This window comes from Homo sapiens, chromosome 2, assembly GCF_000001405.40.
Source record: "Homo sapiens chromosome 2, GRCh38.p14 Primary Assembly".
In the NCBI taxonomy this organism is placed as follows: domain Eukaryota; kingdom Metazoa; phylum Chordata; class Mammalia; order Primates; family Hominidae; genus Homo; species Homo sapiens.
This window is the reverse complement of record NC_000002.12, coordinates 204,696,437-204,712,126: the sequence shown is the minus strand read 5'-3', so window position 1 is coordinate 204,712,126 and position 15,690 is coordinate 204,696,437. Positions and strand designations below refer to the sequence as shown.

At 35.4% G+C, this 15,690-nt stretch overlaps 1 protein-coding gene across 12 annotated transcripts in view, besides 1 other annotated feature; it reads right to left on the bottom strand.

Annotated features, from left to right (window-relative positions):
* The window catches only part of PARD3B (par-3 family cell polarity regulator beta), a 1,074,688-nt gene that overhangs the window by 908,036 nt on the left and 150,962 nt on the right, over positions 1-15,690 (bottom strand). The gene's annotated exons all lie outside the window — the stretch shown is intronic.
* Positions 13,310-14,509: an enhancer, noted in NCBI's record as "BRD4-independent group 4 enhancer chr2:205562341-205563540 (GRCh37/hg19 assembly coordinates)". NCBI's record gives its function as "activates an origin of replication core promoter dependent on BRD2, P300/CBP, MED14 and CDK7 cofactors, and independent of BRD4, by STARR-seq in HCT116 cells {active_cell/tissue: HCT116}" and the evidence as "EXISTENCE:reporter gene assay evidence [ECO:0000049][PMID:35650434]".

Genomic DNA, 15,690 nt, shown 5'->3' with positions numbered 1-15,690 from the left:
TATGATATAAATGCCCTCTGTGAAATGATAAAGACTATTTGTTATACAGTGTAAATTCATCATATATCAGGGATCAAGGAGTATTGATTTTCCTACCAAACAAAAGTTTAGAGATTTGGTCTACATTTTCAAAACACTAGTGCTACATGCCTGGATTCCAAAGTCAGACTGCCTTGGATTAAATCCCAATTCTTCCATTTCCAACTACAGAAACATGGAAGTTACTTCACCTTTCTGCACATTTGTTTTCCCACTTGTAAAATGGAGGTAAGAATAGTTGGCGGGGTACAATGGCTCACGTCTGTAATCCCAGCACTTTGGGAGGCCGAGGTGGGTAGATCAATTGAAGTCAGGAGTTCGAGACCAGCCTGGTCAACATGGCGAAACCCCATCTCTACTGAAAATAGAAAAATATTAGCTGGGCATGGTGGTGCATGCCTGTGGTCCCAGCTACTCAGGAGGCTGAGGCAGGAGAAACACTTGAACCTGGGAGGCAGAGGTTGCAGTGAGCCAAGATCGTGCCACTGTGCTCCAGTCTGGGTGACAGAGCAAGACTCTGTCTGAAAAAAAAAGAAAAAAGAAAAAAGATATATAACTTAATTTTTTATTTTTGGATAATTGAGACAATATGCAGTTGTAAGACATAACACAGAGATCACATATACCTATTACCTACCTATTAGTAGCTGTTAGATATTAATATCACCTTCATTAGAAAAACTTTATTATCTGTTCATACATTTAATATGTAATTTACATATACACAATGAACTATTAAAAAGGCAATAAAAATCAATCTAGAGTCTTGTTTAAAGCTCTCAGTCATTTCATTTTTCTTCATAAAGTTTGTTGTAAAACAAGCAGTGTCAGTATTCTAGAAATATGGGGAGAAGAGGAAAATCAAAGGTCTTAAGTGGCTGTCTCAATACTATAAAACAAGTAATTGTTTAAGTCCAGTTATCAGAACATACAAAATATGCTATAATTTAATTTTTAGTCTTAAAGGAAATCTTGAGAACTATGAATACATTAAACTGGTTAAGCTATAACAAGGTAATAATGGCCACAACATCAATATTAAATTTAAAAATTTAGAGAAATGATTTGCTTAATTCTACAAAGGCACTGATTAAAGGGACTTCCAAACAAAACTCCTTTACTCACCTTCTTCATCATCAATATCACTATTAGGTCTGGTTTCAACATCCTCTGGGCTAGAATTTTTAGACCAGCAGTTCAGAGCTTGAAGGACTGCTATTACTTTTCAGCTTAAGAGCTTTCACTTGTGTCAGTGACAGCAATTAGAGAGAAGACAAAAACTACATAACAGTAAATAAATAAAACAGCACAGGACGCCATACAGATTCCAGGACCCCAACACAGAGGATAGGACAAGAATCTATGTAAGTTTCCTAGACTCTTCTAATGGAATCACTCTTCAAATCAGTAATTGAGAATCAATGAAGCAGGTGCAACTCTTTAGAGAATATGAAGGAGAAAAGGGAGAACCAGGGAGACAGAGAACCCCCATCCAAATCAGCCAGTCAGTAATCGGTGGACACAGCCCCAATGAGTGCCCAAGACTTTGAGCCCCTGTCTAAACTTCTACCACATGAGCATGCCTCACATTTCTTCAAATGACTGCAAGTCCAGCTCTTAAAAACCTATCAAATATCTCAACATACATATTAGTCTAACAATTTCCTCCCAGGGCAAAGAATTTAAACGTACTTTAACAGACATCAAGGGATCACTGCATGTTCTGGAGATCTGTTTCGTAACCTTTTTTCCCTCCATTCAGAATATATGGAAACGGCATTTCTTAGGCAGTATGTGCCAGTCAACCAGGGGCTTAGATGACAGATTTCTATTATCCTAAGGCTTGACCTGCAAGAGCTTGAATTAAATGTCTTTCCAGCAGGACAATGTCTTCCCAAATATATGCTACCTTAACCTAACCATTTAAGGTCAATTTAAGAAAAGAAGGAAGAAGACCTGATCACTTTTCTCACAGAATTTTTCTGAAATCTTATTTTAACGTAAGAAATAGAAGTATTAAATAGACAGGTAACTCTACGAGTCAATGAAACTAATAAAATTTTATATTTCTCTGTTTTTGGAAAAGGCCCTGTTTTCCTCAGAAGGTTAAACAATATTTAATTATGATTTCTTTAGCCTGTGAAAAATAGACAAAACTTTTAAAAATGCACTAACCATTATTTCACAATCACTTAAACATTTAAAGTCCTTTAAAGTTAATAATCCTTTGGCTATTAGCAAATGCTTGATCCTGAGGCAAATTTAAAATTCTGAGCATGCAAAGTGTGATGACCCTTAAAGCTGTAGCCTATAACACCACAGTATTCCTGGTCTGGAAATTGTTGTTGGCCTGATTTTGGTTACCTTAAGATGCCTCAGTGTTGAACCCCAGAAAATTGGGGCCTAACCTATATAGACATGTATTTCCCCAACTGAACACATCAAACGTATGACACTATCATGGAGAAGTCATCTGCTTCACAAGGTACTAGGTAGATGGTCCACTGTGTTCAACAGCAGCTGACATTCAAAGAGAGCCAAAGGTAGTATGTACTGGGATATTGTAACCTAGAGGTCATAAAAGAGAAGAGAATAATAAAGTAGAATAATAAAAGACACATATGCTCATACTAAAGTTCTTAAGGCTGGTTCTTTCCACATGAGTTAATTTAATTCTGGAACCACATACATTGACCTGAAACTCACAGAAATTCCACAGCAGTCTGGCAGAATTTCATTTATGTTTTCTCTCTTGGTACTGTTTTCTCTCACATAAAATACTGCAGTACGTTCTGCATCATGCGGAGAATGTTTTATTGGGTACTGACATGATGTAAAGGCAAACCTAAACATTCTTGAACTCTTCTATCAGAACTTTGTATCAAATTAATGGGACTATACAAGCATTTTTACCTTACAATTCTGGAAACGGAATTTTTTTTTCAAAAGGGTAAGATAATCTAGGAATAAACTATAATAAAAGGAATGCAACAAGCATTATTCATGCATTCCCTAAGTAGCTTGCTCCCAAACATCATTTATATTTCAACTGAGTTTTAGCCTTTTATATTTGAGATGTACTATGCTAAATTAGAAAATCCCATCCACCAGAATAAGATTTTTAATTTGTTCTTGGCTCCCAAAAAATACTGAGAACAATATCTTTTAGCATTCCACAGTCCAGGTGGACAATTTAAAGCTGTTAAGAAAGGCATTTTAAAATTTCTATACAAATGACTGTCTATGTAGGTGACACTTGATCATAGCTTTGAAAAAAATGCCACCAGGAAAAGACTTTGTGGTTTCTGGCCTTAAACAATATTGAAAAAGTAAAAGAACATACTATGCCCTTGAGGATACATTTTAACATAAAAAATTACTCTGGTACAATTCTATGAGAAGAATTTTACATGAGACTTAGGATGTAAATCCCTAGAAACAAAAATGGAAATTAAATTATCTGATGTGACTAATATATAAAGTTCTTACAAGTACTGAGACTATTTAGGAGAATTTTGTACAGGTGAAAGTGATATAATTACATTATTTCACTATTATCAGGATTTGATCAAAGAATTCTAAAACCCGAATATCTATGTCTACTTTCTAATACTAGGAGATCGTTTCTGAAATCTAATAACCAAAATGTTTATGTTTATAATTTGTAATGTCAAAAGCAAGCTTTCATGCTACATATATTAGTTCTTCTATATGAAATATATTTAATTCTTCCATAATCACAAATCATGTGTGTCATAAACACAAGTACACACATTAAAAATATGTCTCCAGCTGGGCACAATGTAATCCCTGCACTTTGACAGGCTGAGGCAGGAGGATCGCTGGAGGCTAGGAGTTGAGACCAGCCTGGGCAACATGGTGAGACTCTGTCTCTACAAAAAAATTAAAAAACAAAACAAATCAATTAAAAAAATCTGTCTCTATAATTAGAATATTTTATTTATACATAGTCAGACAGGTTCCCTCAGTCACAGAAGAGTACTTGCTCCTCCCAGTTCTGAGACATTGACCCTTGAGTTCTATCCTCATCCTGCTGTGGGTCGGGAGTTTTGATGAGGGAGATACTGACCAAGAGATGAAGTCTCCAAAGGGGTCTCTTGGTCTCCTCCTCACCCCTCCAGACTCCCATGCCAGGGTCTCCCCGTGGCCGCCTCTGGGTAGAGCTCCACAATCTTCAGTAGGGAATATTTTCAAGGTAAAATTAAAAGCTTAAAACATGAAACTCATAGGATGGTTTTATTTTCTGCATTACTATTTTTTAAAATTTTAATATTAAGGAATCATTGCTTAGCACTTCTACCATATTCTACTGAGACTGTATGAAGTCAACGAACACAAATCTCCACAGACATAATTTAACATATACAGAATTTCCACAACAATATTGAAAAAGGGCTTATTGCAATCCTGTGTGGAAAATACAGTACAAAGGTTTGTGTGTATGCACAAACACACAATAATTCATTTATTTAGTCATGAAAGATCATTTATAACAAGCTATAATTCATAGTTACAATAATTTATTTAGTTATCCATCATCTACTAGATATATCTAGGCACACTGCTTGGCCTTTGTGATAAAAATATAAAATACCAAGAAAAGTTTCAATACTATGTCAACTTATGTAGAAAAAAATCCATATAAAATAGAAGCCAAAAAGTTGTAACAGTGATTTCGTCAAAAAACTGTCCTAAAAACATCAGCAACTCCATATCTTGCTTAACCCTTGGATCTTAAAGCATATGCTAATCTCACCATTTAAGCTTCTCAGTGCCTCTGGAACAAATTCCTGACAATAGTACCACCACCATAATAAATTTGCAGTCCCACTCGGGCTTCATGTGGTCTGGATTTCCATTCAGGTTGCTGGGCATTAGAGCACACATATGCATGTGTAGGAGAGTGCACAGAAACACACAGGAATGTGCTGATGCAGTTCACTGAGAAACCACTCTGCCATATCAGACATCACAGCAGCTGCTTGGCTCCCCTGCTCAAAAAAATCCTGCTACTTTTCAAATCTTAAACAATTTCATTCATCTCAGTCATTCCTGCAAACAAAAACAGGCCATGCAAATTGCACAGGTCCACAATCCCTTATCCATTATTCCAATATCCAAGCGTGTTTTCTTATCTTTTTGTACATTTGGCACAAACTATATTGACTGGAAACTATTTATCATCATTATTTCACCAGATATAAATATTAGTGTTTTGCTAGAAAAATATTAATGTCTATGATTACAGGGTACTGCCAAAGACCATATGAGGAGTGTTACTTAGTATGTAGTAGATGCATCTACTACTTACCTAAAAATCAAAAAAATTTCCAATTCTGAAACTCATTTGTTTTCAAGGACTTCCAGTCCCTCTTTATTTCAGATGGCCTTTCTTTTACCTCCACTAAAATGTGACCGAGATCATCACCCTAGACTTTTCTCCTCTATACCTTAAAATCTTTCCTCATGTCCAACTCGACTTATTTTTCTCCTGTCTTTGAAGAAAAACGCTATTTCATATTTTTCAAAGTAAACCCCTACCTAGGCTGGTCACCACACCCCATCCAATTTTCTGGAGTCTTCTTCTATCAGTTGTCACTGGCATTTTGACTTTTTTCTCCCCACTGTCCCTTATTTTCTTCTCAAATCTGGATGGATTTCTCCTTACCCTTTTCTTTTTCTTTTTCTTTTTTTTTTTTTGAGACAGAGTCTCACTCTGTCGCCCAGGCTGGAGTGCAGTGGTGCGATCTTAGCTCACTGCAACCTCTGCCTCCTAGGTTCAAGCGATTCTCCTGCCTCAGCCTCCCGAGTGGCTGGGACTACAGGCACCTGCCACCATGCCCGGCTAATTTTTTGTATTTTTAGTAGAGACAGCGTTTCACTGTGTTAGCCAGCATGGTCTCGATCTCCTGACCTCATGATCCTCTCACCTCGGCCTCCCAATTCTCCTTACTCTTATGTAAAAATGAAATAAATTTTACCCTTGCAAAGACATGCAAAACTACACTCCTTTTTCTTCTAAACCATACTTTAAAAAAGTTTAAAGCCTGTCTTCTGTCTTCATTCACTCATCCATTCACCCAATCAAAGAACTGTTACTGAGTACCTATTGTGCACCAAGTATTTAGAACAGAAATATGATCAGCACTAAAGGACCGCATAGTATCAGTTGCAGATGGAAGAAGGATGGAGATTAAGGAACAATTCATCAACAATCACCTTATAATGCACTTGGCTAGCGTTCGGTCAAACTTAAGTACCTGCTGCTGCCTCCACACACTTCACTGCTTTGGACTGCTTGTTCACCTACTCTTAAGCAAACCACAATGACTCACTAAAACTGTAGTTTTCCCAAGTACAGAGACACATTTTTATCTTTTCTCCTCCCCAGCTTACTATCTAGTCAGTCAGTGGCTTGACAGATGATATTTAACAGACATCTATTAAATAGAAGTTAATATATTTGTTTAATAGAGCATTTTATTTCATTTTGTCCTTATTTTTGTTATTTTCTAGTACTTCATGCTATGGAAATTATGTGAGAGATATTTGTATGCTTAAATTCTTACATGACTAATTTTTTGAATGGCCCTCATTCACTGCTATTCTCAAATGTCACTTCCTTAGAAGAGCCTCCTTTAACTGATTGATTTAAAATGCCTTTGCCTCCAACCACTCACTCTCTGTTCTTTTACTCCACTATGTGTGTCTTTATAGCCATTACCAAGCATTACTTGCTATATTATTAATGATGCTTTGCTTACTGTCTCCTTTCCCCACAAGAATATGGGCTTCATGAAGGGAGACCCTTGTCTTTCACGTTTCCCTCATATCACCAGTGCCCTAGCACATAATCGGCTCCCAATACTAAACATAGTGAAAATAAACCAAGAATTACATCTGCCATGCTCATCACTGAAAATAAGATGCTGAGTGTCAGTGAAAGTAGGTGCACAGTTTTCAATTAATTCTACCCTTCCTGTACTATATTTGATGTGTTGCAAGCACTGAGCAGTTTTTCTTCCTTCTTTTGTGCCCAAACAGCTTAACCTTTTATTTAAGTGTCTCTGGTCCAAAAAACATTAAAATTGGGCAGCTCTAATAAATACTACTACATAATGCCTCGCTCCAGTTCTCTGCAGCAATTAGTACTCTGGTGATGAAATGTGCCTCTAGGTTCAAAATTTTATAATGTTTTGACAGTTGGAATCTTACCAAGCATGAAATGAACCAATAAAAAATTCTTTTTTGTTATCATTCTCCAAGCATTAGGGGAAAAAATATTCTCAATATATAAGAGTAGCACTCTAGGAAAAAAATTAGTGGCCCCCTCAGATTCAAAGGGGAGGGTTTATGTAGCATTCAAATGAAGAAAAGATAAATGTAAAATCTCTGATAACTAAAAGCCACGAGCAAGTTCTATTTAACAGGCAAGTGCATCTCAATCACCTTGATTAGCAAAGCAAGATAATATGCATTAAAATCTTCATGCCAGTCAAAATTCTCATAAATACCATATTTTATTTTCCACCTTTAACTGTTTGATGATCATGGTATCTTTAATCACCTCAGATGGTTCTTTATGAAGATTGTTTATATTTGAATATAGTTTTCCTCTCAATATCCTTTCATCCTGAAGAAAATATGCATGACTCTGACAGTATTTCAAAAGCTGGTAAAGATTTCAGTTGCATCAATGGATGTCATGTGTCTTACCTGAAGTAACAAGAGCTACAGTTTCAACGTTCATCTTTACATATACTGATACATTAAAACCTTTAAAGATTCCAAGCATCTGTATGAATCCAAACATATTCTCAATAATATCTGCATGATTTTATTCAAAATAAAAAATACTGTTATGATGAAAAGTTCTGGAGATGAATAGTGGTGCTGGTTATACAACAATGTGAATGCACTTAATGCCACAGAACTGCATACTTAGAAATGATGAAGATGGTACATTTTAGGTGTACTTTAGCACAATACAAATTTTCCTTCATACCTGAGCACTCATTTTCTTATATTTTATTCTGAAACATTTATGCCATATCTGGAAAAATTTGACAAATCATTTCCTAAATGTATACTTCAACACTATGTAACAGGTTCTAATTAACCTTTTTGATATTTGGCACTCATTAACTTCCTTGAATTTTTAAGGTGCCAAGAAAACTTTAAAAAAAAATTATAGAAATGTGCCCTACATTGTGGCATCTAATTTACTACCATAAAATATGAATTTTCTTTATAAATTATACAATAACATAGAATAAACTATGTGGTGTACATTCTCAGTGTGTGGTGGGACATGAAGCAGAATCCAAGGGTCATTTAGTAAATGATATTGTAACTGTACCCCTCTAAAATGAAATGCCATGCTTATGAATTGGTTATTTTTTAATGATTAAGCTAACGAGTTCTGAACTTTTAACCTATATGGGTTTCATAATTACACAGCTTGAAATCCTCATCAGAAAATCTGTCTGCTCCTGAAATTCAAATCATTTTATAATCTTGAATAATGCATGGCAACTCTACAGAAATTAAAACATTTCATAAAAGTAAAGAAATTCACAATCTTTTCTGTATTTTTACAAGAGCATAAAGTAACAGAAATAAACTAGCTGTCACTTCCTTTGACTGCCCCATCCAACCTCTCCCATTCCCATCTCTTTAACAAGAAGCATCTTATTTATCTTTACATAAACTTCATAATGGATACAGCCTCATGGGACAAACATCTCATAAATGAGCAAGTGCAGGGACAGTAGAGTTCCAGAAAAATACCATGAAAATGGAAAACCAAATTTTGTGTCTAAGCATGGTGGTTAAGAACTCTGGCTTTGGAGACTGACAGATCTGAGTTTGAGTCCTGGCTTAATCAGGTACTGGCTCTTTAGAAGTGTGCAAACCACTTAATCCTGTTCTCTGAGCCTTAGTTTACCAATTTGTAAAATGGGGATAATAGGTCTATCTCACTGGGTAATTTTAAATAATCGATGAGATAATATAAGCAATGTTTTTAGCACTATGCCTAAAATTAATAAAGTATCAATAAAGTAAATTCTAATTGGAATCATGAAGAATATTCCAATTACAATCTTATAATTCAACAATAACAGTTTTCACATTTAAAAGTGCTTCTTCACTTAAACAATTGAACAAGAAAAAAAACAAATAACTCTATTGGCCAGGCATGGTGGCTCACGCCTGTAATCCTAACACATTGGGAGGCCAAGGCAGGCAGATCACCTGAGGTCATGAGTTTGAAACCAGCCTGGCCAACATGGCAAAACCCCATCTCTACTAAAAATACAAAAAATTAGCCAAGTATGGTGGCCAGTGCCTGTAATCCCAGCTACTTGTGAGGCTGAGGCAGGAGAAACATTTGAACCCAGGAGGTAGAGGTTGCAATGAGCCGAGATCCTGCCACTGTATTCCAGCCTGGGTGACAGAGCAATACTCCTTCAAAAAAAGAAAAAAATAAAATAAAAATAGGCAAAAGACACGAACACTTTTCAAATGAAGGCATACAAGTGGCCAACAAATATACTTTTAAAATGCTCATCATTATTAATCACTGGAGAACCGCAAATTAAAACCACAATGAAATACCATCTTATACCAGTCAGAATGGCTTAAAAAGTCAAAAAGCAACAGATGCTGGTGAGGCTGCAAAGAAAAGAGCACACTTAAACACTGTAGGTGGAAATGCAAATTAGTTCAGCCACCTTGGAAAGCACTCTGGAAATTTCTCAAAGAACTACAAATAGAACTAACATTCAACCCAGCAATCCCACTATTGGGTACATAGCCAAAAGAAAACAAATCCTCTACCAAAAAGACACATAAACTCACATGTTCACAGCAGCACTATTCACAGTAGCAAAGACATGGAATCAACCCAGGTGTCCATCAATGGTGGATTGGCTAAAGAAAATGTGGTACATATATCCCATAGAATTACTACGCAGCCATAAAAAAGAATAAAATCATGTCCTTCGCAGCAACATGAATGCAGCTGGAGGCCATTATCCTAAGTGAATTAACTCAGGAACAGAAAACCAAATATGGCATGTTTTCACTTGTAAGTGGGAGCTAAACAACACGTACTCATGGACATAAAGATGGCAACAATAGACATTGGGGACTTCTAGAGGGGGAAGGTAGCAAAAAGGGAAAGGGTTCAAACGCTAACTCTTGGGTACCTTGCTCAGTACCTGGATGACAGGATCACTGGTACTCCAATCTCAGCATTATGCAATATACTCGGGTAACAAACCCGTACATGTACCCCCTGAAGCTAAAAGTTGAAAAAGAAAAAAAAAATAATAAAATAAAATTGCTTCCTCAGTAGAAGTCATCGTTAAATACTTTCTTTTCATTCTTTTCAATTGGTGAATACTTCCAGAATTCTACGGCATTAATAAAATGCTGAAAATCAGTTAAATCCAGAAGAAAACAACACTCAACTTAAAATAGAGTTTCAGATTTAAAAAAAGTTAGATTTGCCTTTAAACCTTTCATATGTGTATTTCAAGGTACATACATTTTAAAAGCAAACTACAGCTAATAACTTACCAATAATCACCTATAAAACAAATGGAAATTTTTCTTCCAAACACCAGAAATCAGAATATTCAGCTACCTAGGTAAGCAACCAGCCCAATAAGTCCCATGAGTATAGACATTTACTTAGTTCTCTAGACAAGAATTCTATGCTGTATTTATAGGGTTAAAAGTCCTTTTCCTAAAATATCCCAGGATTTTTACACTGAAAACACATCTTGCTTTTACATTTTAATTACAGTAAATAGAGTATTTATCAGAATTATAGCAAAATGTTCAAGGAAAAAGCAAAGGAAGGAAGCTAAAGCTAAAAATCCCCATTCAAACAAGGATGGGCCAAATACATATTGAAAATCATCTTTCAAAGAATAAATACATAGAAAAATGTGTTAAGTCAAAGAAAAGTATGTTACTAAAACAATTTTGTATGAAAAAGTATAAATGTAAATATTTATGCTTCAATACATATACAAAAGAAATTTATATGCCCAACTTTTAATAATGACTACTCCTGCTTGATGTGATTGCAGATGATTTTGGTATTCATCTTGGTATTTTACCATATTTAAAATTTTTTGACATTTAACAAGTACTAACTTTTTTAGTAGTGTTGGGTTTAACAGTTAACAGTTTAACAATTTTAAAACAAAGGAAAAAACAAACAAAAGTGCCTCTTATTCAAAAATTCTGTCCTACCACCTTTTAACCTTAAGAAATTCTTAAACACTGTCACTCAAATACAATAAGAAAATCATGTATAAAAATTGTCCTGCCTTAGATGAATTCTTAAAGCATTTAGACTTCAAACACTATAATCAAGACACTGGCATTGCCCCAAAGTAAATGATGGGAAGTACAAAGCAGATTTCAGGTTTTATGCATGCTTGTAGCTCCAGATCCAATGGACAGTGAAGAGATACTATAAAACACTGATTTGGCTGAAGTATTAATCAACTAGATGTCATAATAAAAGATTGCGTGTCAAAAATTCAATCCAGAGCTATATTCCTCTCCTTATATGAAGACACTATCAAATTTTTAAAAATCTATTTATTTCATATAAGGTGTGCTACTGACCAAATGGTGCTCAGAGTATTCCAGACATAATTATTTTCACTGTACAAAATTAAATTTTCCAATAAAGTTATAACTAGGAGTAAAATAAAGTTTCTAAGTCCCAAATTATTATGTTAACTTTCAGTAACATGAGGCTATCAGATGCTATAGCTGAATAAAAGAAAACATTGTTTAAATAAGAGGAAAATATTTGTTTTGGAAAAAGAGGAAAGCAATATATTGAATTAAGATACCAGGGAACAGCCTTTGAAGTATTCATCTCAATAAATCTAATTTTCAATTTTAGCTTCTGATTTCTAACAAACAGCAAAGATTTAAAGAACAGTACTGCAGGATTTTTAATATTCCACCTTTATTTGAATATTTATTTCAAGTATCAATGTGGCAGGAAATACACAAGTTTTCAACCTAGACTTTCTTGGAACAGACCAACTTGATACATTTTCTGTTAGTGTATATACATATAAAAAATACTAAGGTTTAAAATTAACTTGGCCAGTCAGAAGCTGCATTCCATATTTTGATGCATTATATATAAGAATACAAGATTCATCTCAGATTGGTCTCTGTTAAATGCAAAATATTTCATCCATTTTTATGCTAAATCATTGTAACTACTTAACTTCCTTATTTCCATTTGGGAAATAAGTTTCCATTTGGGAAAGAGTCATGTAAATAGTTTGAGTGTTGATGCCTTTGACATGGAGCCTCCCCAAACATTATTGTATCATTGTCTATCACATTATTCTTTGTTGCTTGTCTTATTGTAACATTCATTACAGCACTTTTTAAATCATCAGCACACTAAATCTGCAAATTACTTATTTTTCTAACTCATCACATTTATCTCCCCCACCCCCAACACTTCTACAGTGTTCTTACAAATCCTCCGGGAATCTCACTCGCTTAACCTCCAATCTTCCTAAATATACCAAATTATTCTGTCTTGTTAGGGAAGAGTGGCATGTTCTGAAGCTTGTTTAAAGAACCCTGATTTTGACAGCCATGTAGCCACTTCAGAAAGGAGTGATTGTGATTTCAATGTCACAATGTAAAGGACCACTGTCTTTATATTGCTTGGACATGAAGTACATTGAATATATCACAGATGTGTTTTCAGTGTCCAAGCGTAAGCAACCCCACTTCCTCGGTGAACAAGAAATATCCCCAGTCTGCCCCATTTAGGGGCCCAGGGCTCCCTGGGAGTCTCCAGGCTTTACTTGCTACACCAGGGGCACCTAGACACTTCTTTATAACTTGGGTAAAGAGTCAGAAGAAAAGAGTCATATGTCAGGTCAAGGGCTTCATTATTTTTTGAGATAATTTTGGGAAAACTGATAATTGCAAAACTTCTTCACAGCTAAGGGGAAGCTGGAGTATTAACCACATTATGATCTCATGCCATTGGATAATAACTTAAAAGATTATTATACTTCACTCTGAGTTCTGAGAAACTTCTTAAACTGCCCAAGGTTTTTCTTTTTTATATTTGTTTGCTTTAAATATAGTCTCCAGTTTCTTGATGTAAATAGGATTGCACCCAGTTGAAGCGACATTTTGAGGTTAGTGTCAAATGTTTCTTCCAAGTTCTTAAAATAAAAAGGAGGAACGCTACAATTTTAAAGAAATCCATTGGAAAAATGGCCTCTATGTTACTCTGTAAGACCACGCATTGACGTAACCACTTATACTTTAAGTATCTAAAAAGGCTAAAGACAGAACTCCTTCTGATTTCCCAGTCACTAGAATATTGGCTCTCAATACATAATTTTTGAAGTAATGAATAATAGAAATAATGAGCGTTTATGACAAACACATCTTAATAGATGTGTTAAATAGCATTAATTATTTCTTCCAGAAAAAAAAAACCCAATCAACAATCAAGGATAACAAAGACTTTAAAATAAAAAGATATAATTCGCACCAAATGGAAAAATTCCAAGTTAATCTTGCCTAGTAAATCTAAGCCATGCAAACCAAACAACTGGAATATGCATTTTTACCCCTCCAGATTTTAAGATGTGTAATTCTTTCATTGACAATTCAAAAACTTCTGAAAGAAAGGAGCTAAATAATTTGGCAGAAATGTGAACAACAATCTGAAAACTTTCCAATTAATGACGTATAGAACTGAAAGAGGTTAGGACAAATATGTCCTAATCAAATGGAAATAAAGAGGAGCCCAAAAAATAGAGCCTAAGCTTCTCTAACAGGGTAACCAACGACAATCCGTAATCTGTGAGTCACAGAAAAACGCAATGGAAACAGGCGTAAATGTAAGGCAATACATGGCCCGTGTAATTGGAGGTTCCAAGTTAGGAGGGTCTTGAGAGTTGACTCAACCCATTGGCTCTGACGCCATGTTCCTTAGATTACCGGAACCTGAATTTCTTCTCTTGTTGGAAGCTAGATGGCAGCCATGGATCTAAACTTCATAACAACAAAATAAAATTCGGAGAAAATTTCTCCCACAAGATGAAACGATCTTTCCCAGAAGGACTCAGCAAATCTCTCTTTGAACATATTTGGCACAAACTGAATCACACGACCATTCCCAAAGTAATCACTGTCACAGGGAACCAAATATTAGTAACAGACGAAGGGCCACCCAGGGTCACCCTTGCAGGTGAGTAGTCACATGCACTGAACCATATGGGCTTCAAGTTGAAGGGAGAGAGAATCTGAACACAACCGGAGGGAGAAAGGGGACAACGGATGTGAGGTCAGCAAACAACACTGTATCACAACGGACTATGTAGGCCAATCCTGTATTTCCAGACTGAAATGCATGCCTCAGAGGCTGACAGTTGGCCTTTAGAAGTCTCTAATCAAACTGCAAAACTAAAAGAGGAATTCCTGGCAGATGTCTGCCCCACTCTTGCTTATATACTCGGTCTCAGTGACTAAGATGAGCTCCTGTGTTAGAAAGCAGCATGTGCTTCATTGAGAAGCTGTTCATTATATTCAGCTGAAAAAGATTTTCTTGAAACACCACTGGCCCGATTTCTTAGAGCAATAGGGAATGAATTTATACCTTTTCTATGATCACTCAAATAGTTGAGGACAGTTAGCAGGCTCCCTCTGAACCCTCTCTTCTCAATTGTAGTCCCAGGTTCCTCAGTCTTAACACTAGGTACTTCCATTTCCAAGTAAGTCAACCAAGAGCTCTGTAAAATTCCCATTTAAAAGGCGAACTATTTAGAACACGTCATTTTACCACAATGGGTTCATTTTGAACTGGTATACAGTGGCCACACTTAGCCAGCAGTCTAGAAAATCAACTTCTATCCCTGTTATCAATTAAGAACTATGAGATTCTTCAACTTTTACACAAGTATATGCATATTTAAGATTGTTAGGCTATTAGAATAATCTCAAATCATATTATTTTGTAGTCTTTCTGGTCTGTTTGTAGTTAAGTATTGTATAAACATGTGTATTTCAATTGTAACATGGTTTTGGTTGAGATTAATGAAGACATTATTTCTGAACATGTTTCTATGCTATTTCACTCCTGATTTAAAGTCTGCACAAGGAGGCTTTCTTCTTTATTGTTAAGAAAATGTCACTTGATCCTTCAAAACTGATTCATAACATCGAAGTAAAGCTAAAAAGATAACTTAAAAAGTTAAAAGAGTAAACATTAAGTTTAGTAATCCTGCCGCAATTCTGTAAGTGAAGTTTCCATATTCACATGACAGGGAAAACACACTTTCTTTCTAAATGTGATATTAAATACTTATAGGACTTTCAAACGCTACAACTTAAAAGCCTAAGCTTAAGGAAACTGAATATTCTTATTTACTAAAAATGTATCTATAAGTACAAGCGGTTTATATAGAATTTGGAACAGGTACCTCATAAAAGTGTGACAAACATCAGTTTGATTCCAAGAGAAGTCAAAAACGTCTTGTTGGATTCACAATATGGCTAATTAATAATATAAAGTGAGTTTAGGTCCTGGAAATAGGAGAACCAGCA